Below are 24,707 nucleotides of genomic sequence, written 5' to 3'. Positions count from 1 at the left end.
CTTAACAATGCCCAGAACAGAATGCGGCCTCTTCCTTCACTGGCTGTTGGTGACATCTGGAGCAGCTGCAGCTACCTTGGGACCATGAGGGGGGGTCCAGCCCCCAAACCTATCCTTGGCACAGCTAGGGGATGCGAGAACCTGGTTCCCTGAAGTCATCCTGCCTTGGGACATCTTGGTTTTTATCATAATTCATTTTTATTTATTCTTTTTTCTATTAGAGACAGGGCCTCATTCTGTCACCCAGCCTGGAGTGCAGTGGAGTGATAGATCATGGCTCACTGCAGCCTCAAACTCCAGGGCTCAAGGGATCCTCCCACACCAGCCTCCTAAGCAGCTGAGACTACAGGCACACACTACCATGCCCAGCTAATTTTTTTTCTTTTTCTGAGACGGGGTCTCGCTATGTTGCCCAGGCTGGTCTCAAACTCCTAAGCTCAAGTGATCCTCTTGCCTCAGCCTTCTTTTTTTCAGACAGAGTCTCGCTCTGTCACCCAGGCTGGAGTGCAGTGGCATGATCTCGGCTCACTGCAACCTCTGCCTCCTGGGTTCAAGCAATTCTCCTGCCTCAGCCTCCTGAGTAGCTGGGACTACAGGTGCCTGCCACCACGCCCAGCTAATTTTTTTAGTATTTTTAGTAGAGAAAGGGTTTCACCGTGTTAGCCGGGATGGTCTCCATCTCCTGACCTCGTGATCTATCCGCCTCTGCCTTCTAAAGTGCTGGGACTACAGGTGGAGCCACCATACCTGGTACATTCTTTTTTTTTTTTTTGAGATGGAATCTTGCTCTGGTACTCCGGTTGGAGTGCAGTGGTGCAATCTTGGCTCGCTGCAACCTCCGCCTCCCAGGATCAAGCAATTCTCTTGCCTCAGCCTCCCGAGTAGCTGGGATTACAAGTGCCCACCACCACACCCGGCTCATCTTTGTATTTTTAGTAGAGATGGGGTTTTGCCATGTTGACCAGGCTGGTCTTGAACTCCTGGCCTCAAGTGATCCCCCCTATCTTGGCCTTTCGAAGTGTTGGGATTACAGGCGTGAGCCACAGCACCTGGCCAAATTCATCTTTTAAAAGTTGCTTAATCCCGGCCAGGTGCAGTGGCTCACTCCTGTAATCCCAGCACTTTGGGAGGCTAAGGTGGGCAGATCATGATGTCAGGAGTTCAAGACCAGCCTGGCCAATATGGTGAAACCCCCATCACTACTAAAACAATGCAAAAATTAGAAGGCCGGGCGTGGTGGCAGGCAGCTGTAATCCCAGCTACTCGGGAGGCGGAGGCAGGAGAATCGCTTGATCCCAAAAGGCAGAGGTTGCAGTGAGCTGAGATTACACCACTGCCCTCCAGCCTGGGTGACAGAGTAAGACTCCATCTCAAAAAAAAAAAAAAAAAAAATTGCTTAATCCCAGGTTTGGGTTTTCTGTCCTTGTGGCTGAAGGGACCCTGAGTGAAGGCTGCAGACTCATCAGGGGCAGATGGAAAAATACCAGGATTGAGCCTCTCAGAAGTGATGCTTGAATCCAGTCTTCAAAGATGAGGACTCCGGCAGGTGACGTGGCAATAGCGTTTTGGAGGGACCAGTCCAGATACACAGGCATGGAGCCATGCATTTGTTCCAGAAAGTGTATTTGGATGGAACCGGAACATGGAACAGGACACACAGCAGGATGCGGAGCAGTGTCAGATGAGGCCAGAAAGGTGGGTGGGACTGGTCTTCAGGGGCTCCAGATGAGGCTGAGGGGCTGGGCCTAGGTCCTGGAGTGGGGTCAGCTCTGGGACCCTTCTGGGGCTGTGTGGGGAAGGGGCTGGGGGCCAAGAGGTCCAGGAGGAGGCTGGCGATGAGATGGCTGGAAGCCAGGGGTTCAGGGAGGCCCAGGCTCCTGGTATCAGGGTTCACCGGCTATACTGAGGATCCCCTGCCCCTGGCACCCAGCTGTGGAGGGGACACTGTCTTTGAGGCATCACTGGTTCCACAAAAGGTAGGGGAAGGTCTTGAGGGACCACCCCATGCCCTCATTAATCAACCAGAAGCTTGGCCCGGAGCAGCAGCGGGGATTCCAGTAGCTGTGGGCATACAGGATGCTAGGGCGGCCACAACCCAGGCAGCTGAGGCCGAGCCACCTAGGAACGCAGGCTCAGAGCAGACCCTCTTGGGACAGACGGAGAAGGGGAGGGGGCGGGCTTCTCTAAGTTAAGCCGATCACTGAGCACCTCACTGGACACGAGAGAAGGCAAGCCCCTCGGAGGACAGAAGGGAAGAGCCACAGACTTGGAGGCTGTGAAAGTGGAGACAGGTGGACCTGGGGTGGCAGCAATGCGTGAAATGCCAGGCCGTGCCCCCGCCCCAGGAGCCCAACATGACACCAGCCCCCAGGGAAGCTGACTGTGCCACTTCATCCAGCGCCCATCAGTCGCCTTGGAGCATCAGGAATCCTGAGGGCTGGGGTCCCGGAGGATCACAGATGCTGGGGCACCTCAACCTCAGGGAGCCGCTCGAGAAGTTTCTTTTCTGAAGTGTCCACCTCCTTCTGGTCACCGGCTGGAGCTGGGACAGGTACATCGTCTGGAAATGGAGGGAGGGAATGGTGGCACAGGACATCCGAACCCCTCCTCCCCCAGGACCCCAGAGGCCCAGCCCCTCCTCCCTCACACCCAGGGGTCCAGCCCCCAGCCCCTCCTCCCTCACACCCAGGGGTCCAGCCCCCAGCCCCTCCTCACTCACACCCAGGGGTCCCAGCCCCTCCTCCCTCACACCCAGGGGTCCCAGCCCCCAGCCCCTCCTCCCTCAGACCCAGGAGTCCGGACCCCCAGTCCCTCTTCCCTCAGATCTGGGAGTCTGGGCCCCCAGTCCCTCTTCCCTCAGATCTGGGAGTCCAGGCCCAGCCCCTCCAACCTCAGACCCAGGGGTCCAGCCCTGCAGCCCCTCCTCCCTGGACTAGGGCCAGCACCTGTGTCTGGGTGGAACTTGAGCTGCCCCTCAGGGTGGGCAGCCGGGGCCTTGTGGCCTTGCTGCTGCTGCTGCTGCTGCTTCCGCTGCTCCATGTGCAGCACAGCCTGTGGGAGGTGGGGGGTCACACAGACAAGAGGGTGTGATGCTGGCATTGCAAGTGCTCAGGCCTCAGTCCCCAAACGGAGACTTCACAGCAGCCTGCTAAGTGGTCACGGCCAACCCCTTCTCCGTGGGCCTCAGTTTCTCTCTTTCATTGACAGTCGGGCTTAATAATAGTCAAGGATCCAGTTCTCCCTCCAGTCACAGCTTGGGTCTTGCTTTGGGACAGGGAAACCCTCACCCATCCCTGGCTGAGTCTGCCTTTCTCCCCCTCCTGGGCCTTTCCCTCCTCACTTACAGCCTTAATGCCCTTATCTCACATGGCAGCCACAGAGCCGTCAGAGACGGGAAAACGTCTGCCCTTACTCAAGATGGCGGTGAATACTTGAGGCTCCCCCAGTGATTAACATGGTGGCCACAGGCCTTCCCAGCTTCTGGACACCCATGGGGACACGGACACGGGCAGCCAGAGATTCAGTGGATGGAAGCAGCTTCCCCCGCTGTCACCTGCTGCAGCTCTCTCTTCTGGGCCTCCAGGCGGCCCTGGGACCGCCCTAGAGCCTCTGTCTCCTGGCTGAGGCGCTGGGCCTTGGCATTCAGCTCTGCCTCCCGGGCAGCCAGCTCCTCTTCAAAGCGCCTCAGCTCTTCCTCGGTGTAGGCAGGGTGCATCTCCACTGTCTGCAGGGCAGGCACAGGGGCCATCAGGGGCACAGGTCCAACCTCGGCCCACCCATGTTGGAGAGGGTTGTGCCAATGGGGGAGGTGTAGAGGAGGCTGGGAGGCCAGGGCCATGTGGGTGGGCAAAGAAGCCCAAGTGGGAGGTGGGAGTGGGATAAAGACCGAGAGACAAGGCCGGGCACCATGGCTCCCACCTGTAATCCCAGGACTTTGGGAGGCGAAAGTGGGAAGGATCACTTGACGCCAGGAGTTCAAGGTCAGCCTGGGCAACGGAGCGAGACCCTGTCTCTACAGAAAATTGGCTGGGCATCTTGAAAAATATATAGAAATAGGCCAGGCACCATGGCTCACACCTGTAATCCCAGCACTTTCGGAGGCCGAGGTGGGTGGCTCACCTGAGGTCAGTAGTTTGAGATGAGCCTGACCAACATGGAGAAACCCCGTCTCTACTAAAAATACAAAATGAGCAGGGCATGGTGGTACATGCATATAATCCCAGCTACTCAGGAGGCTGAGGCAGGAGAATTGCTTGAACCTGGGAGGTGGAGGTTGCAATGAGCTGAGAATGCACCATTGCACTACAGCCTGGGCAACAAGAGCAAAACTCTGTATTGAAAAATAAACAAACAAATAAATAAATAAATAAAACAGAGACCTAGATTAGCTGGGCATGGTGGTATGTGCCTGTAGTCCCAGTTACTCAGGAGGCTAAGGAAGGAGGATCACCTGAGCCCAGGAATTCAAGGCTGCAGTGAACTATGATTACACCACTGCACTCCAGCCTGGGTGACAGGAGACCCTGTCTCAAAAAATATTAATAAATAAATAAAAGAATGAGCTAGATTAGCTAGGCATGCTGGCATGTGCCTGTAGTCCCAGCTAATAGGGAGGCTCAGGCAGGAGGATCACTTGAGGACAGGAGTTTGAGGCTGCAGTGGGCCATGATAACACCCCTGCACTCCAGCCTGGGTAATCCCAGCACTTTGGGAGGCTGAGAAGGGTGGATAGCTTGAGTCCAGGAGTTTCAGAGCAGCCTGGCCAACATGCAAAACCCTGTCTCTACCAAAAAATACAAAAATTAGCTAGGTGTGGTGCGGTGGTGCATGCCTGTAATCCCACCACTTAGGGAGGCCAGGTCAGGTGGATCGCTTGAGTCCAGCAGTTCTAGAGCAGCCTGGCCGATATGGCAAAACCCCATCTCTACAAAAAATACAAAAATTAGCCAGGCATGGTGGCTCACGCCTGTAATCCCAGCTACTCATGAGGCTGAGATGGGAGGATCGCTTGAATCCAAGAGGCGGAGGTTGCAGTGAGCCGAGATCCCACCACTGGGCTCCAGCCTACGCGACAGAGCAAGACCCTGTTTCAGAAAAAAAAAAAAAAAAAAAAAAATCACACCTCTAATCCCAGCACTTTGGGAGGCCAAGGTGGGTGGATAACCTGAGGTCAGGAGTTTGAGACCAGCCTGGCCAACATGGTGAAATCCTGCCTCTACTAAAAATACAAAAATCAGCTGGGTGTGGTGGCACGCACCTATAATCCCAGCTACTCAAGAGGATGAGCCAGGAGAATTGCTTGAACCTGGGAGGTGGAGGCTGCAGTGAGCCGAGATCGTGCCACTGCACTGCAGCCTGGGCGATGGAGTGAGACTCCGTCTCAGAATAAATAAATAAATAAATAAATAAATAAATAAATAAATAAGAGTCCTAGAGACAGGGGAAAACAGAGACCCAGAGATAGAGATGCAGTGACCCAGGAGAATGGACGGGGACCCAGAGAGAAAGAGAAGGGGCCTAAGATTCTGAAAGAAAGGTCATGGCTAGAAGAGAGAGAGGTTCAGGACCCCGAGTATCCCCCATGTTCTCACCTCCCAGCCCTCCCCGGTGTCCCCAAACTCCTTCCTCTGAGTGGATGCGAGGAACTCCTCCAGGGTCACGAGGCGGTCCTGGTTGGTGTCCACCTGGGGAGCCAGATAAGGGTGAGTGACAGAGCTGGGGGCCCGTCCTCTCCCCCGCCTGGCCCCCACCTCACATTCTTCATCACATGCTCCCGCATGCGCAGTCGCTCCTCCTCCATCTCCCGCATGTCGTCCTCCTCATTCTTTGGGTCGTACACTTTCTCCAGCTGCAGGAGCAAGCGAGAGGCAGACAGCATTGAGAGGTCCCCAGCGAGCTCATTCCCGACAACTTCAACTCCCAGCAGTCCTTTGGGCACGCTACCACTCCTGGGAGCCGTTTTTGCCCCAGGGGCTGATGGGAGTTGTAGTTTTCACTGAGCTCCCATCCAGGGGGATTTAAGGGGACTGCAGGAGGAAACAAGTGGCTGATTTGGGCGTCCCTCCAGGTGCCCGAGGCTTCCAAGATGCTCACCTCCTTGGTGAAGAGTGCCTCCAGCTCCTGCTCATCCAGGACACCATCACTGTTGATATCTGAAGGGAAGAGGATAGCAAGGTATCTCAGGGGACCGAGGACGGGATGTGTAAGGTCCCTGGTGAAGAAATTTTGGGCTGATGTGGGGTCTGTTATCAGAGGACAGGTAACTACGGGTCTCCCGCGGTGGAACGGTGGCCCCCAGGCTTTAGTACCCCACTAGACCCGTTGCTAGGGCCACTGCCTAGCGACCAGGGGGTTGAGAATGGAATAGATCAAAGGGAGGGTTCGAGGAAACATGCTTGGGTCACTGTCATGCAGGATTCTCTGGCCCTGGCATTCAGTGCTCTGGACACAGAGTCAGCTCCAGGGTTATCAGGGACCTCTGCCTCCCAGACAACCAGGCCAGTGCCGACTCCAGTTGTGAGGGGAGCCTCTCCTACCAACGTAGACCCCACAGCTGCAGGGCTTCAGGCTCGGTCAGCCACACTTCCTGTCCTCACCACCGGCCCTCCTTCCTCGGCTCCCTCAGACAAGCACAACCTTCCTCCTGAGGAGGAGGCCAGGAACCCTCATCTTGCAAATCCAGTGGTTAATTTCCACCTGCATCTGACTTGACTTTCTGCCCTTGGCTTCCAGAACATGATTCTGTCCTCTCTGGCTGCCCCTCCACCTCCTTTGACGGCTCCATCCTCTTCCTGACCTCCACATGCTAGTGTGGCCCAGGGCTCAGGCCTGGGGGTCTCTTCTCTGCCTAAACTCTGGATCTGCGCTGTCCAGTACAGTAGCCGCTAGCCACATGGGCTGTTTAAATGTAAATTGATTAAGATTAAAGAAAATGTAGGGGCCAAATTTAGGGGCTCATGCCTGTAATCCCAGTACTTTGGAAGGCTAAGGCAAGATCATTTGAGCACATTAAGTTCGAGACCAGCTTAGAAAAGATGGCTAGACCCCGTCTCTACAAAAAAAAAAAAAAAAGTAAAAAATTGGGCCGGGTGCGGTGGCTCACGCCTGTAATCCCAGCACTTTGGGAGGCCGAGGCAGGAGGATCACCTGAAGTCAGGAGTTCAAGACCAGCCTGGCCAGCATAGTAAAACCCCGTCTCTACAAAAATACAAAAATTAGCCAGGCATAATGCCAAGTGCCTGTAACCCCAGCTACTCAGGAGGCTGAGGCAGGAGAATAGCTTGAACCTGGGAGGCGGGGGTTGCAGTGTGCCAAGATCATGCCATTGCACTCCAGCCTGGGCAACAGAGCAAGACTCTGCCTCAAAAAGAAAAAAAAAATTTAAAAATTGGCTGGGCATGGTGGTGTGCACCTATGATCCCAGCTACTCTAAGGGTTGAGGTGGAAGAATCACTTGAGCCCAGGAGGTCTGGGTTGCAGTGAGCCATGATCACGCCACTGCACTCCAGCCTGGGTGACAAAGGGAAGCCCCATCTCTAAAAATAAAAAAAATGAAAAATAAAAAAAGGTATAGGGAGTTGCTCTGAACCTATTCTGGTCTGTAGGGACTGCCTGATTAAAAAGATTAAATAAGGTTTTTATTTTTTTATTTTTTAGAGACAGGGTCTCACTCTGTCACCCAGGCTGGAGTGCAATGGTGTGATCGTAGCTCACTGAAGCCTTGAACTCCTCGGCTCAAGTGATCCTCCCACCTCAGCCTCCCAAGTAGCTGGGACTACAGATGCACGCCACCACACCCAGCTAATTTTTGTATTTGTTTTCATAGAGATGGGGTTTTGCCATGTTGCCCAGGCTGGTCTTGAACTCCTGGTCTCAAGGGATCCAGCCGCCTTGGCTTCGCAAAGTGCTGGGATTATAGGGGTAAGCCACTGCGCCGGGCCTATTTATTTGTTTATTTATTTTTGAGACAGAGTCTCGCTCTGTTGCCAGGCTGGAGTGCAGTGGCATGATCTCAGCTCACTGCAACCTCCACCTCCAGGGTTTAAGTGATTCTCCTGCCTCAGCCTCCTGAGTAGCTGGGACTGCAGGTGCGTGCCACCATGCCCAGATAATTTTTGTATTTTTAGTAGAGACGGGGTTTCACTATGTTGGCCAGGATGGTCTCGATCTCTTGAGCTCCTGATCTGCCTGCCTTGGCCTCCGAAAGTGCTGGGACTACAGGCGTGAGCCACTGAGCCCAGCCTATTTTCTATTTTTTAGAGACAGGGTTTCACTCTGTTGCCCAGGCTGGAGGGCACTGGTATGATCATAGCTCACTGCAGCCTTGAATTCCTGGACTCAAGTGATCCTCCCACCTCTGCCTCCCAAGGAGCTGGGACTACAGATGCACGCCACCACACCCAGCTAATTTTTGTATTTTATTTGTAGAGATGGGTTTGTGCCATGTTGCCCAGGCTGGCCTTGAACTCCTGGACTCAAGGGATCCACCCACCTCGGCCTCCCAAAGTGCTGGGATTACAGGCGTGAGCCACCGCATCCAGCCCAAATGTCCTCTCTAGAGCTGTGCTGGGACTCCAGTACAGCAGCCACTAGCCACATGGGGCAATTGAAATAGAAATTAATATCCAGTAGAATGAAAACTTCAGTTCCTCACCATTATGCTAAGTGAAATAAGCCAAACACACACACACACACACACACACACACGACAAATACCAAAAGATTCTACTTGCATGAAGTACCTAAAATAGTCAAAATCATAGAGACAGAAAATAGAATGGTGGTTGCTAGAGAGCAGGGGAAAGAAGGGGAGGGCGAGTGGTTTAATGGATACGGTTTCGGTTGTGCGAGATGAAGAGCTCTCAGAATTGGTTGCATGACAGTGTAAATATACTTAATACTATTGAACTGTACAATTAAACATCTTTAAAGCTGGGCGCAGTGGCACACACCTGCAGTCTCAGCTACTCAGGTGACTGAGGCAGGAGGATTGTTTGAGGCCTGGAGTTTGACTCCAGCCTGGGCAACATAGCAAGATCCTGTCTCAAAAAAAAAACAAAACAAAACACGGGGGGTGGTGCCCGGTGGGATGGCTCATGCTTGTAACCCCAGCACTTCGGGAGGCCAAGATAGGTGGATCGCTTGAGCAAAGGAGTTTGAGACCAGCCTGGGCAACATGGTAAAACCTTGCCTTTACTAAAAATTAAAAAAATTAGCCAGGCATAGTGGTACGTGCCTGTGGTCCCAGATACTTGGGAGGCTGAGGGGGAGGATCACTTGAACCTGGGTGGTCAAGGCTGCGAGGTAGTACACGTCACTACCTGAGACCCCATTACAGAATCTTCTAATTCTTTTTTACTTTCTATTGCTTTTTGAGACAGAGTCTCACTCTGTTGCCCAGGCTGGAGTGCAGTGGTGTGATCTCAGCTCATTGCAACCCCCGCCTTCCGCCTCCCGGGTTCAAGCGATTCTCCTACCTCAGCCTCCTGAGTAGCTGGGACTATAGGTGAGCACTACCATGCCTGGCTAATTTTTGTTTTGTTTTTTAATTTTTGTATTTTTAGTAGAGACTGGGTTTTGCCATGTTGGCCAGGCTGGTCTCCAACTCCTGGCCTCAAGGGACCCACCCGCCTAGGCCTCCCAAAGTGTTGGGATTACAGGCGTGAGCCACCACACCCGGCCTAGAACCTTCGTTGATTCTGAGATGCACTTTTGTGTTCTTCTATTTTATCACCCCTGAAATAGGGATGTATCTTTATTTATTTAACTTTTAATTTTTATTTTTTTCTTTGTTTTTTTGAGATGGAGTGTTGCTCTGTCACCCAGGCTGCAGTGCAATGGCACGATCTTGGCTCACTGCAAACTCTGCCTCCCGGGTTCAAGTGATTCTCCCACCTCAGCCTCCTGAGTAGCTGGGATTACAGGCACTCACGATCATGCCCAGCTAATTTTGGTATTTTTGTGGAGATGGGGTTTCACCATGTTGGCCAGGCTGGTCTTGAACTCCTGACCTCAGGTGATCCTCCCACCTCAACCTCCCAAAATGCTGGGATTATAGGCGTGAGCCACCACGCCTGGTCTATTTTTTTTTTTTAAATAGAGACAGGGTCTCACTTTGTTGTCCAGGCTGGTCTTAAATTCCTGGGCTCAAGCCATCTTCCACCTTGGCCTACCAAAGTGCTGGGATTACAGACATGAGCCACTACACCCAGCCCAGGACGCATCTTGTTTTCAATGGTACGTTAATTTAATTGGCAGCTTACGTAAAATGCTAGCACCTCTCATACTGTACAGTCTCGTGGAGTTACTAAAGTATGGTATGATCTGTGTGCCTGATCACTGGCTCTGAGGGGGAGGTACTTTGTTTTGTTTACAGTTGTATCCACGGGGTCTTGACAAAGCTTGGTCCTTAGAGGGAACTTAGGAAAGGTTTGCTGAATGAATGAGTCAGGCCTTGCTAAGCTTATCTGACCGGCTACAGATTCTGGGACAGGGTGCTTGGCATACCTGAGGGGGCTTGGCAACCCCAGGCCACATTTCCAGACAGGAAGAGACAGACTGAGGGGAGTGTGCCTTTGATCCACCATAGAGAAAGGGCTTTCGAGGCCGGGCGCAGTGACTCACGCCTGTAATCCTAGCACTTTGGGATGCTGAGGGGGCAGATCACACGAGGTTGGGAGTTCGAGACCAGCCTGGCCAACATGGTGAAACCCCATCTCTACTAAAAATACAAAAGTTAGCCGGGCATGGTGGTGCATGCCTGTAATCCCAGCTACTCGGGAGGCTGAGGCAGGAGAATCACTTGAACCCGGGAGGCGGAGGGCAGGGGGTTGCAGTGAGCCGAGGTCATGCCACTGCACTCCAGCCTGGGCAACAGAGCAAGACTCCATCTCAAAAAAAAAAAAAAAAAGGAAAAAGAAAAAGAGAAAGGGTTTTCCAGGCTTCTGGAGGCCTGGTTCTTAGGGAACAACCCACTCCTAGCGACAGGGTTCCCAGAGTGGACCAGGGCTTCTCCTGGGCTGCTGTGGGCAGAGGGCCCAGGCCTAGCCAAGCCTGGTTTGCTTACAGAGGACACCAGCTGTCCTTAGAACCCCGAGGTCTGGTGTTTGCTAGAAAAGAGGCCCAACCCTTCCATGCAGATCCTAGCCTTGTAGTCGGGAGAGGCAGGGCTGTCTGGTCAACCAGGGGACATAGGCTTGGCTCTTGGGCCTGACTAAGCCCTCCTGGGACAGACACACCCCTCTTAGCATTCAGGTCCTAGAAGGGTCAGAATCTAGGGTTCATCCTGGCTCTGGAACTCCCTCCCCACCTTACCATGCAGTATGAAGAAGGTCTTGGGGTTAAACCTGTTGGGGTCCAGTCCATCCAGCTCCTCCCACACCTCCTTCAACTGGGCTTGGCTGCCCTGTGGAGGGGAGAGCCAGGAGCTCATGAGCAAGAAGTCTGGATGCCATGGGATAAAACCAAATATCCCTTTACCCTCATCCAACAAACATCATCTCCCTCAAGCAAGAAAACTAAGAAAACTACAACTCCCAGCAGACCCTGGGGCAGCCAGGTACAGTAACAGGGAGTTTTTTTGCCTCAAGGGCCCCTGGGAATTGTAGTTCTTTAACTGCTTTCTTGTCTTGCGTTTGAACTGGATGTGGTAGGGAGTGGATGGGCACAAATGGGGTCCTCACAGGCACGTTGACTTTAGGGTGCTCGCGGTGCCGGCGCTGTTGCTCTTCCAGCTTCCTCTCCGCCTCCTTTCTCTGCTCCTCTCCCAGTGACTCCAGATAACGCCGTCTCTCGTGTTCCTTAAGCATCTCGTAGCGCTTGAACTCTTCATGATGGGCTGCGTCGTACTGGGCAAGGTCCCGGGTGGCCTGGGGAAAGGCACAGGGTCATTCCCCTCTGCCCCCTCTGCCCAGCCCCCAATTCCAGCCTGTAAATGGCAGGCCCTTGGCCCTGAACCTGGCTGAGGGCAGCCCCAGCCTCTACCTGTCTTTCTTACGTCTCGTGTCCTAATGTCCCTTTTTTTTTTTTTTTTTTTGAGAGGGAGTCTTGCTCTGTTGCCCAGGCTGGAGTGCGGTGGCACAATCTCTGCTCACTGCCTCACTTCAACCTCTGTCTTCCGGGTTCAAGTGATTCTCCTGCCTCGGCCTTTCGAGTAGCTGGGATTATAGGCATGTGTCACCAGGCCCAGCTGATTTTTGTATTTTTAGTAGAAACGAGGTTTCACCATGTTGGCCAGGCTGGTCTCAAACTCCTGACCTCAGGTGATCCGCCCACGTCAGCCTCCCAAAGTGCTGGGATTATAGGCGTGAGCCATCGCGCACAGCCTGATGTCGCCCTTTTTGGTTTCCATGACTGCTCCTGCCCCATAACACACTTTCTTCTCTTTATTCAAAACAGATTGGGACGGTTATACAATAGCAACTTCAACCCACCTCTTTCAAGTCCTCCACAATCTCCAGATCTTGGAGGAATAAGTAAATAGGAACAACATATGTGGTGAACTTAGTATTTATGTATTTCAGGTACAGCTAGGTGGCCAAGAACATAAGGTCAGACTAGGAGAGGTGGGTCACGCCTGGAATCCTAGCACTTTGGGAGGCTAGGGTGGGAGGATCACTCGAGCCCGGGAGTTCAAGACTAACTCACATAACACAGCGAGACCTTGTGTCTACTAAAAATTTTTAAAATTAGCCTGGTGCGGTGGCTTGCACCTCTGGTCCCAGCTACTCAGGAGGGTCAGGTGGGAGGATTGCTTGAGCCCAGGAGGTTGAGGCTGCAGTGAGCTGTGATCATGCCACTGCACTCCAGCCTGGGCATCAGAGCAAGACGCTGTCTCAGGTAAAAAAAAAAAAAAAAAAAGTAAAAATAAACCAAAAAAAGAACAAGAGGTTTCTAACTATTTTGCCCAGCGTTCAAATCTAGGCTTTGCTTTGTGACCAAATCTCATAAGCTCTGTGACACTGGGCAAGTTACTCAGCCTCTTTGTGCCTCAGTTTCCACCTCTGTAAAATGGAGTTAACAATACCAGGTTGAACAGTATACTCCCCCCACACTCCCAAATTCATGTCCACCTGGAATCTCAGAATGTGATCTTATTTGGAAATAGAGTGTTTGCAGATGTAATTAGTTAAGATGATGGCCTGCTAGATTACGGTGGGTATCACTATAAGAAGAGCTGGGTGCGGTGGCTGACACTTGTAATCCCAGCACTTTGGGAGGCTGAGGCGGGTGGATCACCTGAGGTCAGGAGTTCGAGACCAGCCTGGCCAACATGGTGAAACCCTGTCTCTACTAAAAATACAAAAATTTTCTGGGCGTGACGGCAGGCACCTGTAATCCTAGCTACTCGGGAGGCTGAGGCAGGAGAATCGCTTGAACCCGGGAGGCGGAGGTTGCAGTGAGCCGAGATTGTGCCATTGCACTCCAGCCTGGGGGAAAACAGCGAGATTTCGTCTCAAAAAAAAAAAAAAAAAGAAAAGAAAAGAAACGACTCAGCCCTCTACCAGCCTCCAACCTCAGAGAACACCAGCAGGAATGGTGAGCTGGCTCACGTCTGGGACTCTGTCCCCTTCTCCCCTTCCGCAAAGCTACCCTCAATCCTCTGCCTCCGGACCCACTCCCATTACCGTCTGGATCAGCAGCTCCAGGTCGCGGGCCTCGAATGTATGCTGGTTCTGAGGGTCCAGGTGTTCAAACTGTTTCAGGAGATTCAGATGATCCACCTGTACATCTGGAAGAGAGGGAAGAGTCCAACACCTGAGGGCATGTTCTTTCAGAACCCCCATCTTGGGCCAGACATGATCCAAAGAAGTCACGGACAGCACTAGGGAAGCCCAGAAGACAGCTTGAACCTGGGGCAATCAGGGAAGGCTTCCTGGAGGAGGTGATCCCACGACTGAGTCTGATGCTTACAATAATAACCATAATAAAAACTAACATGTAGTGCCTACTTACTAGATGCCAGGCCATGCCCTAAGCACTTTAACTGTATTAATTCATTCACTTTCCACAAAATCCTGACAACAAGGGTTTTATGATTATCCCCATTTTATGAATGTGAAAACTGAGACCCCTTGAGGGGTTGTGACTGGTCTAGGGTACCAGCTAGCAAGTGGCAGAGCAAGGATGGGAACCAGCCATTGGACATCCAAAAACCATGACACTCAACCATTTCTTTTTTTCTTTTCCTTCTTTTTTTTTTTTTTTGAGACAGGGTTTCACTCTGCAGTGGCAGGATCTCGGCTCGCTGCAACCTCCGCCTCCCAGGCTCAAGCAATCCTCCTGCCTCAGCCCCGAGTAACTGGGACTACAGGTGCATGCCACCACACTCGGCTAATTTTTGTATTTTTAGTAGAAACAGAAACAGGGTTTCACCATGTTGGCCAGGCTGGTCTTGAACTCCTGACCTCAGGTGATCCACCCACCTCGGCCTCCCAAAGTGTTGTGATTACAGGTGTGAGCCACCACGCCCAGCCTCAACCACTCTTTAAAAAAAACAAACAAGGCTGGGTGCGGTGGCTCACGCCTGTAATCCCAGCACTTTGGGAGGCCAAGGGGGGCGGATCACAAGATCAAGAGATTGAGACCATCCTGGCCAACATGGTGAAACCCCATCTCTAATAAAAACATAAAAAATTAGCTGGGCATGGTGGTGCGCACCTGTAGCCCCAGCTACTTGGGAGGCTGAGGCAGGGGAATCACTGGAACCTGGGAGGCGGAGGTTGCAGTGAGCCGAGATCACGCCACTGCACCAGCCTGGTGACAGAGTGAGACTCCGTCTGAAAAATAAATAAATAAAATAAATACATACATACAAACAAAAGAAAAACATCAAAATTTTTGATAAAGCATCAACCAATCTTAGGGGTTAAATTGCACGCTCCTAAGTTTCTATGTTGAAGTCCTAAGCCCCAGTACCTCAGAATGTGACCTGATTTGGAGACTAGGTCTTTACAGAGGGAATCAGGTTAAGATGAGGTCATTACTGTGGGCCCTAATCCAACATGATTGGTGACCTTATAAAAGGCAGAAATTTATGACTGGGCACAGTGGCTCATGCCTGTAATCCCAGCACTTTGGGAGACTGAGGTGGGAGGATCACTTGGGCTCAGGCATTCGAGACCAGCGTGGGCAACATGGTGAAACCCCATCTCTACAAAAAATATAAAAATTAGCTGTGTGCAGTGGTGTGTGCCTGTAGTCCCAGCTGCTCAGGAGGCTAAGGCAGGAGAATCACTTGAGCGTGGGAGGGGGAGGATGCAGTGAGCCGAGATCGCACCACTGCACTCTAGCCTGGAGGATAGAAGTGAAACCCTGTCTCAAAATAATAATAGGCCGGGCGCGGTGGCTCACACCTGTAATCCTAGCACTTTGGGAGGCCAAGGCGGGTGGATCACCTGAGGTCAGGAATTCGAAACCAGCCTGCCCAACATGGCAAAACTCCATCTGTACTAAAAATACAAAATTATCCAGGCGTGGTGGCGCGTGCTTGTAATCCCAGCTACTTAGGAGTCTGAGGCAGGAGAATCGCTTGAACCTGGGAGGCAGAGGTTGCAGTGAGCTGAGATCGCGCCACCGCACTCCAGCCTGGGCAACGAGAGCAAAACTCTGTCTTGGAAAAAAAAAAAAATAATAATAATAATAATTAATAAAAAATAATAATGGAAGGAGAAATTTGGGCCAGGCACACAGAGAGGAAAGATGGTGTGAAAATGCAGTGAGAAGACGGCCATCTGCAAGCCAAGGAGAGGGGCCTGGTACAGATCCTCCCTCATAGCCCCAGAAGGAACCAACCCTGCCAATACTTTCACTTTGGACTCTGACTGCAGGCCATGAGACAGTCAAGTTCTGTTGCTGAAGCACCTGGTCAGTGGTACTTGGTTACAGCGGCCTCAGCAAACAAGTGCAGCCTCCCTCATATGGGAGTTTCCAAGTAGTCAGGAAGGGGTAGGGTTTCCAGGCAGGAAAGGACAGCGCACACGCTGCCAACACACACTTACCGCACGCATGTCTCCCGAGGCTTCTAGGGGCCCAGGCCTGCGCTGTGCAATGCTGGACCCAAAATGAATCAGCCTGGCCCTGGCCTCCAGTGGCCCTTGGTTAGGTGGGGAGAAAGACACACACACACACACACACACACACACACACACACACACACCCCTTGGTCAAGTGGGCAGAAAGACACACACACACACACACACACACACACACACACACACACACACACACACGGGCAGCTAGAATTTGGGAGACCTAGGCTGCAGTGGAGGCAGCTCCGGCCCTGGCTGAGCCCAGAGGAGTGACAGGTGTGCAGGACACAGGTACAAACTGAATCTCAAATTCATTATTTGTGCCAGGGACGTGTGTTGAGCCGCTATTCCAGGCTGACCCAGCGCCGGCCGCTATGGACACAGCAGGAATCAAATGATGACAGAATTCTGACTCTTGGAGGCCAGGCGGGGTGGCTCATGCCTGTAATCTCAGCAATTTGGGAGGCTGAGGCGGGTGGATCACCTGAGGTCAGGAGTTTGAGACCAGCCTGGCCAACATGGTGAAACCCTGTCTCTACTAAAGATACAAAATTAGCCAGGTATGGTGGCGGGCACCTGTAATCCCAGATACTCAGGAGGCTGAGGCAGGAGAATCGCTTGAACCTGGGAGGCAGAGGTTGCAGTGAGCCGAGATCGCGCCACTGCACTCCAGCCTGGGCGACAGAGTGAGACTCTGTCTCAAAAACAACAACAACCAAAAGAGTTCTGCCTCTTGGAGCACCCAGTCTAGAGAGACAGAGAACAGGCGACCAAGGGATGAACAAAGGAATACCAAGGACACAAATAACACAGAGGCTCCTTCACACAGGACAGCCGGGGCGGTGACACCCTGAGGAGGTGACATTCCAGGGGAGATGGAAGGTCCATGGACCAGGCAAAGAGCCCTGAGAAAGAATGTCACGGGAGAGCGGGGCGAACGGACAAAGGTCCCAAGGCTGCACGCCAGCAATTTCTAAAAATGCTGACGCAAGAAGGTCAGGGTGCATACGGGAAGGGCAGGGTTGGGCGGGTGTGGCCAAGGTCCACCCAGGCTCCGAGCAGACAAGAGGAACATGAATGCGGGCCTGAGGGCACTGGGGTGCCGGGGGCAGGCTCTGGGCAGAGGAGGGACGGGAAGAGCCTGGGTGTTGTGGCAGCTGGATACTGGTGCCCTAAAAGATATCCACATCCTGATCCCCGGAACCTGTGAATGCGTGACCTTTCCGGGCTAAGGGGTCCTGGCGGATGGGATTACATTAAAGACCTTAAGATGGGGGCCAAGGCTGGTGGCTCAGGCCTGTAATCCCAGCACTTTGGAAGGCCGAGACAGGAGGATCACTTGAAGTCAGGAGTTCAAGACCAGCCTGGCCAACATGGCAAAATCAAGTATCTACTAAAAATACAAAATTAGCCAGGTGTGGTGGCACACACCTGTAATCCCAGCTACTTGGGAGGCTGAGGCAGGAGAATTGCTTGAACCCAGGAGGCGGAGGTTGCAGTGAGCCGAGATCGCGCCACTGTAGTGCAGCCTGGGAGACAGAGCAAGATTCTGTCTCACCAAAAAAAAAAAAAAAAAAGGCCAGGCGCGGTGGCTCACACCTGTAATCCCAGCACTTTGGGAGGCCGAGGTGGGCGGATCACGAGGTTAGAGATCAAGACCATCCTGGCTAATACAGTGAAATTCCGTCTCTACTAAAAATACAAAAAATTAGCTGGGCATGGTGGCGGGCGCCTGTAGTCCCAGCTACTTGGGAGGCTGAGGCACAAGAATGGCGTGAATCCAGGAGGCGGAGCTTGCAGTGAGCCGAGATTGCACCACTGCACTCCAGCCTGGGTGACAGAGCGAGACTCTGTCTCAAAAAAAAAAAAAGAAAGATATTAGCTGAGCAAGGAAAAACAGTGTGACCTGATAAATCTCCCGATTTTATCGCTGTACTTATGCAAGAGTATCACACTGAAATGTGTAAGGGTGATGAGATGGTGACTGTGGTGAAGTCCCAAACGTGAGTGACAAAGCAAATGGAGCAAATGTTAACTAGAGAAGCCAGGTCAGGGGTGTTTGGGAGTTTTCTGTACTACTCTTACAACTTTTCTAAAAGTTTGAAGTTCTTTCAACTTTTTTTTTTTGAGATGGGATCTTGTTCTGTCGCCCAGGCTGGAGTACAGTGGCGCAGTCATGGCTCACTATAGCCTTGACATCCCAGGCTCAACGATCCTCCCACCTCAGCTTCCTAAGGAGGTGGGACCACAGGCATGCATTACCATGCCCAGCTTATTTTTTAATATTTTTTATAGAGACAGGGGTCTTGCTATGTTGCCCAGGCTGGTTTTGAACTTCTGGGCTCGAGTGATTCTCCTGCCTCAAAAAGTGTTGGAATTGCAGGCGTGAGCCACTGCACCCGGCCTCTACCAGAATTTTAAATGACAATTTTTTTTTTTTTTTTTTGAGTCAGAGTTTCACTCTGTTGTCCAGGCTGGAGTGCAATGGTGCGATCTCGGCTCACTACAACCTCCGCCTCCCGGGTTCAACCAATTCTCCTGCCTTAGCCTCCTGAGCAGCTAGGATTACAGGCGTGCACCACCATGCCCGGCTAATTTAGTATTTTTAGCAGATATGGGGTTTCACCATGTTGGCCAGATAGTCTCCAATTCCCGACCTCAGGTGACCTGCTTGCCTCAGCCTCCCAAAGTACTGGGATTACAGCCGTGGGCCACTGTGCCCAGCCCATGATAAAGATTTTTAAAAACAACAAATGGAAACAGAATATAAACAAACAACATTGTAATGTTAATATTAAATCATGCTGGGAGGAACACTGGGGCAATCTCCCACGCACATTTCAGCACATTTCGCAGCGGGGAGGGAGGCCTCACCTGCCTAGCACACAACCACCTGGAGGCCGGGAGTGAGGCCACCCTTCCCCACCCCTCCCTGCCTGTCCCTCCCGCCCTGCCCCTGCTCACTGGGATCCTGCTCGGCGTCCATCTTGGCCTTGAGCAGCATCCGCAGCCGTGACACCTCCTGTCGCTTGAGCTCATCCAGCTTGGTGCGGACGTGGTGGCTGACAAAGTCCAGCTCTCGGCTCAGCTTCCCGCTCTGACAGGAGAGGAGACCCTGGTCAGCCTGGGGGCCTGCTCTCTGTCTTCTCTGGAAGCTTCTTATAAGCTTTCTCATGCCCCAGTCTTATACTGCCCCTTCCCTGCTTATAGTCCCCCAGCTCCTCAGAGTCTCCAGGAAGGACAGCTCCCAGCCCGTCAGCCTGGCATTCAAGGCCCTGCCCACCTGTGCTGCCCCATCTCCTGTCATTCATCAAGCCACATGTTTAGGGGCCAGGTGCGGTGGGTCACGCCTGTAATCCCAGCACTTTGGGAGGCTGAGGTGGGAGGATCTCAAGATCAGCCTGGGCAACATGGCAAGTCCCTGTCTCTAGAAACAATACAAAATTAGCCGTGCATGGTGGTGAGACCCAGGTCCATGAGAAGGACAGATCCTGATACGAGGGTTCAGTGTCCTACTCAGTGAAATGGGGACAATGATGGTGCTCCTAGAGGCCTGATATGGGAGTTCATGGTGATGTAAGGGACACCAGCACCTCCCTTATTTTGAATTCTTCCTCTGTAGAAGGCACCATAGGAGCATTCTGTTGACGCAGCCCTCCCACAACACTTGCTAAGGAGTGTCACCATGCTCTTCCAAACCCTTTACACATCTTCCTTTGGAAAATCCAAACCCCAAAATCCTTCCCTTGGAAAATCCAAATCCGAACTGTGCAGCAGGTTCTATGATGTCTCCCATTTTACAGGTGGGGAAACTGAGGCACGGTGAGGGGAGGCCCCATAGCTGGTAAGCGGCGGAGCTGCGACTGAAAGCCTGCCCACGGGACTCTGCACTAAACACGTATTCTGTGTTCCCCAAAGCTCTTCCCAGCTTGTGACCCCAAGAAGCAACTTCTCCCTGAGTCTTACTTTGGTGATTTTCAAATACAGGCACAGCTGGAGCCATGTGGCCCCTTTGAAGAAACCAGTATGGTCAGGCATGGTGGCTCATGCCTGTAATCCCAACACTTTGGGAAGCCGAGATGGGAGGATCACGAGGTCAGGAGTTCGAGACCAGCCTGGCCAACATGGTGAAACCCCGTCTCTACTAAAAATACAAAAATTAGTCAGGCATGGTGGTGTACGCCTGTAATCCCAGCTACTTGGGAGGTTGAGGCAGGAGAACTGCTTGAACCTGCGGGGTGGAGGTGCAGTGAGCTGAGATCGCACCATCGCACTCCAGCCTGGGTGACAGAGCAAGACTCCGTCTCAAAAAAAAAAAAAAAGAAACCAGTCCTCCCCTGAACTCTGCCCTCCCAGCACGTACCCCTCCCACAGCCCCCACTCCCCCAGCCGCACCTTGATGTCCTCCGCATTGGCAGCCTGCAGCTTCTCTCGGAAATGCCCATCCGTCTCCAGTACATCGATGACCTCCTGGAGGTACCGGTGGTAGTACAGGCCTGTGTCCTGAGGCAACAAGGACAGACATAGCAGCCCCTGCTCCCATCCCCATCCCCACCCTCACTCCTGTTACTGCTATGGCCTGCTCCCTGGGGCAGCTGACAAGGGACTCAGTTTTTACCTTTTCCCACATATGCAGCAAAGATGAAATGAAAATCACATCAGTGAACACCCAGCCCAATACTGCCCAGAGTGGGTGCTCAGAGTGGACATGACTTGTTGGGAAGCTGTGAATCATACTTTTATCCATCCATCCAACCATCCATCCATCCATGCATCCACCCATTCATCCATGCATCCACCCACCCATCCATCCATACATCCCACCCACCCATCCATACATACATCCTACCCACCCATCTATCCACCCATCATCCATCCATCCATCCACCCATCCATCCACTCATCCATCCATCCACCCACCCACCCATCCATCCATCCATCCACCCATCCATCCATCCACCCACCCATCCATCCATCCATCCATCCATCCACTCATCCATCCATCCATCCACTCATCCACCTGCCCATCCATCCACCCACCTATCCATCCATCCATCCATCTATCCATCCATCCATCCACTCATCCACCCACCCATCCATCCACCCGCCCATCCATCCACTCATCCATCCATCCACCCACCCATCCATCCATCCACCCACCCATCCATCCATCCACTCATCCACCCACCCATCCATCCACCCGCCCATCCATCCAACCACCCGTCCATCCATCCATCCACTCATCCACCCACCCATCCATCCACCCGCCCATCCATCCACTCATCCATCCATCCACCCACCCATCGATCCATCCACCCACCCATCCATCCATCCACTCATCCACCCACCCATCCATCCACCCGCCCATCCATCCACCCGCCCATCCATCCAACCACCCATCCATCCATCCATCCACTCATCCACCCACCCATCCATCCACCCGCCCATCCATCCAACTGCCCATCCATCTACCCACCCGCCCATGCATGCATTCATTCATTCAACAAACATTCACCAGGCCCCTATCATATGCCAGGCACTGTGAACAACACAGACAAAAGTCCCAGGCCTCCTAGTCCCACCCCCGTCATGCGTAGCTGGGTGGGACTTTACTCTCCCTGGGCCTTCTATGCTCTTACTATTTATAAAATAGGCAATATATCCTCTGCCTCCCAGAGTTGTGGTGAAAAGCAAATAAGATAAGTTGGAAAAAATAAATAAATAAAATTACAAAAGAGAGAAGGCCAGGCATGGTAGCTCATGCCTGTAATCCCAGTGCTTTGGGAGGCTGAGGTAGGAGGATCACTTGAGCCCAGGAGTTCAAGGCTGCAGTGAGGTATGATCCTGCCACTGCGCTTCAGCCTGGGCACCAGCACAAGACCCTGTCTATTAAACATATATATATATATATACATTCTTTACCTCTTTACCTAGTCTCACAAGATCCCACATGATCCACATAATCCCCCTCTCCCCTCCCTCTCACTCTCCCTGCTCCAGCCACAGCAGCCTCCTTGACGTCCTCAACTTGCTCTGCTTTCTCCTACCAAGTGGCCTTTGCTCATGCTGTTCCCTCTGCCTGGAATGCTCTTCCCCTCACTTCCTCTCTTCCTTGCTCTTGACTTAACATATCTCTCCAGTTCAGAACTCAGTGGCTCACACCTATTATCCCAGCACTTTGGGAGGCCGAGGCGGGCAAATCACTTGAACTCAGGAGTTCGAGACTAGCCTGGGCAGTATAATGACACCCTGTCTCTATCAAAAATACAAAAAAAATTAGCTAGGCATGGTGGCACATGCCTGCAGTCCCAGCTACTCCAGAGGCTGAGGCAGGAGGATCGCTTGAGTCTGGGAGATGGAGATTGCAGTGATTGCACCACTGCACTCCAGCTTGGGTGACACAGCAAAAATAAAAAAAAAAAAAAAAAAGAAAAAGGAAAAGAAAAAATGAGGTGGCTCATGCCTGTAATCCCACCACTTTGGGAGGCCGAGGCAGGCAGATCAAGAGGTCAAGAGATCGAGACCATCCTGGCCAACATGGTGAAACTCCGTCTCTACTAAAAATACAAAAATTAGATGGGCGTGGTGGTGTGCGCCTGTAGTCCCAGCTACTCGGGAGGCTGAGGCAGGAGAATCACCTGAACCTGGGAGGCAGAGGTTGCAGTGAGCCAAGATTGCACCACTGCACTCCAGCCTGGTGACAGAGCGAGAAAGAAAGAAAGAACTCAACTCACGCCTCCCTTCCTCCCTGACTGTCACCCCTGGTGTTCACTCTCATAGAGCCCTGCCCTTTGTCTTCCATCTCCCAGTGAGCAGGGATAGTCCATGGGCATGGGGCATGCACATGGCTGGGCCCTAACAACTATGCAACACATAGGCAACACTATGCCCGGCTCATAGAAGGTGCTCAGGAAACATGTGGAATGGAAGAAAAGAAATGGGACTCAACAAAGCCTTCCTGGGTCTGCAAGGATTTCACAGAATAGAGGCCTAACTTGCAGCGTGGGGACCAGGAACATGCAATGATCCGTTCCAGGGGGTAATGACTAGCCCATTCTTTGTTTTTTGAGACAGTCTCAGAAAACAGAGTCTCAGCTCTGTTGCCCAGGCTGGAGTGCAATGGCGTGACCTTGGCTCACTGCAACCTCCACCTCTCTTGGTTCCAGCACGAGAATTCGTGCCTCAGCCTCCCAGAGTAGCTGGGATTATAGGCGTGAGCCACCACGCCCAGCTAATTTCTGCATTTTTGGTAGAGATGGGGTTTTGCCATGTTGGCCAGGCTGGTCTTGAACTCCTGACCTCAAGTGATCCGCCTGTCTCGGCCTCCCAAAGTGCTAGGATTACAGGCATGAGCCACTGCGCCTGGCCTGACCAGCCTATCCTTATGGGGAGCTATAGGAAGATTCGGACCACAAGACACTCACTGACCTTCAGGATCTCCAAAGTTCCAAATCCCTTAAGACCAAAGCTTTTATTGGGTTTGATAAACACATGTAGGAATTAATAAACAAGCAGTTCACCCGCCCTTCTGTAATTTAAACTACAACTCCCAAGAGCACCATGAAGTCAGAATACCCCAGCTAGCCAACATCAACTGCTACTGGGAACTAGCAACATGGTGCTACTGGGAAATGTAGTTTTGTTTGTTTGTTTTCAAATTCCTTCTTGGGTGGAGAGAATCTTAAAAAAACAGACGTTTAGTTGGGGCGTGATGCAGATTTTCCACACCTCAGAGTCAGGGACCTCCAGTTTTTCACCAAGTCAAACCCCTGCTGCTGGGAGGAATGGTGGGCAAAAAACAAGCTACAACTGTAGGGCCAGGAAGTCACTGGAGCATCCGCCCTACGGGCACCGGGGTCTGCAGGAGCTGTAGTACCACTGCAAACACCTGGCTGGATAGCAGGGCAGGGCCACTCACGGGACTCTCAGTCGCAGGGGTCTCCTCCTTGTTGGGCGCCCCTCGCTCCAGGGGGACAGCCAGCACGGCGCGAAGCAGGAGCAGCAGCAGCAGCGGCAACAGAAGGAGGGTTCCTCGGGGCCCAGAGGGAGGCATGGCAGTGTGGTCTGTGGGGGATGGAGGGCTGGATAATGCATAATGTCTGTCCCAAGCCTCTTCCTCCCCTGGAACCAGGAGTTCGGGCCCCCAGCGCCGCCCCCACTTCCAAGAATCAAGACACAAGCATTTTGTTACCCAGGCCCCAGGATTCCAGGCCTCCGGCCTTCCCTTCCTCCGACACAGGAGTCTGGGCCCTCAGACCCAGGGGTCCTGGCTCCCAACACGCTCCTCTCTCACACTCAGGAATCCGGGATCTCGGCCGCCTCCTCCCCCAGACCCAAGAGTCCAGGGTCCCAGCCTCCTCTTTTCCCAGGACCTAAAGTACTGGCACCCAGTGCATCCTCCTCCGGGACCCAGTTTTCCAGCCCTCTGGCCCCCATCCTCCCTAGGACCCAAGAGTATGGGAACCCTGGCCTCTCACCTCTCCTTCACCGCAGAGGGCGTTTTCCAGGGCGGGCAAGGACCTCCGGTGCGTTCTTGGTGACTTCCCCCCTAGACCACGCCCACTTATCCACAGAGGCCCCGCCCCAAAGAGGTCTGATTGGTCCACGCTGGCTCTGTAGCTTTCATCCACGTCCAGCGGCCCCGCCCCTTGCCGAAGCCGCTCGCATTTTCGTGAAAGC

At 52.7% G+C, this 24,707-nt stretch overlaps 1 protein-coding gene and 1 long non-coding RNA gene across 3 annotated transcripts, besides 2 other annotated features; one reads left to right on the top strand and one right to left on the bottom strand.

The window, feature by feature from the left end:
* Positions 1-1,505: 1,505 nt before the first annotated feature.
* NUCB1 (nucleobindin 1) lies at positions 1,506-24,566 on the bottom strand. Of its 2 annotated transcripts, none has more exons than XM_017026845.2 (13): positions 24,220-24,566; positions 23,947-24,092; positions 20,424-20,531; positions 18,993-19,125; positions 13,626-13,729; positions 11,682-11,867; positions 11,314-11,404; positions 6,094-6,152; positions 5,756-5,848; positions 5,592-5,684; positions 3,554-3,724; positions 2,946-3,051; positions 1,506-2,560 (listed from the first exon to the last, which is right to left on the bottom strand). In XM_017026845.2, exons 2-13 carry the CDS (start codon positions 24,079-24,081, stop codon positions 2,454-2,456), a joined length of 1,386 nt encoding a protein of 461 aa, XP_016882334.1. In that variant the 5' UTR covers positions 24,082-24,092; positions 24,220-24,566; the 3' UTR covers positions 1,506-2,453. The 2 variants fall into 2 exon arrangements, with proteins under 2 accessions (XP_016882334.1, NP_006175.2); NM_006184.6 differs by having other exon boundaries at positions 24,506-24,566.
* Positions 1,643-2,142: an enhancer, noted in NCBI's record as "H3K4me1 hESC enhancer chr19:49425993-49426492 (GRCh37/hg19 assembly coordinates)". NCBI's record gives its function as "activates a minimal SCP1, AML or CMV promoter by ChIP-STARR-seq in primed H9 embryonic stem cells {active_cell/tissue: H9 hESC(primed)}" and the evidence as "EXISTENCE:reporter gene assay evidence [ECO:0000049][PMID:30033119]".
* Positions 5,289-5,788: an enhancer, noted in NCBI's record as "H3K4me1 hESC enhancer chr19:49422347-49422846 (GRCh37/hg19 assembly coordinates)". NCBI's record gives its function as "activates a minimal SCP1, AML or CMV promoter by ChIP-STARR-seq in naive H9 embryonic stem cells {active_cell/tissue: H9 hESC(naive)}" and the evidence as "EXISTENCE:reporter gene assay evidence [ECO:0000049][PMID:30033119]".
* NUCB1-AS1 (NUCB1 antisense RNA 1) lies at positions 5,987-13,948 on the top strand. The gene is made up of 2 exons (NR_046633.1): positions 5,987-6,174; positions 13,704-13,948. It is a non-coding gene; the product is annotated as an NUCB1 antisense RNA 1 (long non-coding RNA).
* Positions 24,567-24,707: the final 141 nt, after the last annotated feature.

This window comes from Homo sapiens, chromosome 19 (assembly GCF_000001405.40).
Source record: "Homo sapiens chromosome 19, GRCh38.p14 Primary Assembly".
Taxonomy (NCBI): Eukaryota; Metazoa; Chordata; class Mammalia; order Primates; family Hominidae; genus Homo; species Homo sapiens.
The sequence above is the reverse complement of the archived record's forward strand: the minus strand, read 5'-3'. Positions and strand labels throughout refer to the sequence as shown.

Coding starts and splice junctions, on each gene's coding strand:
- NUCB1 (XM_017026845.2), bottom strand. CDS start 24,081: ATGCCTCCCTCTGGGCCCCGAGGAACCCTCCTTCTGTTGCCGCTGCTG. Junction 19,126..20,423: donor CCAATGCGGAGGACATCAAG/GTGCGGCTGGGG, acceptor CTCTCCTGTCAG/AGCGGGAAGCTGAGCCGAGA. Junction 11,868..13,625: donor TGGAGCTGCTGATCCAGACG/GTAATGGGAGTG, acceptor GCCTTTCCCCAG/GCCACCCGGGACCTTGCCCA.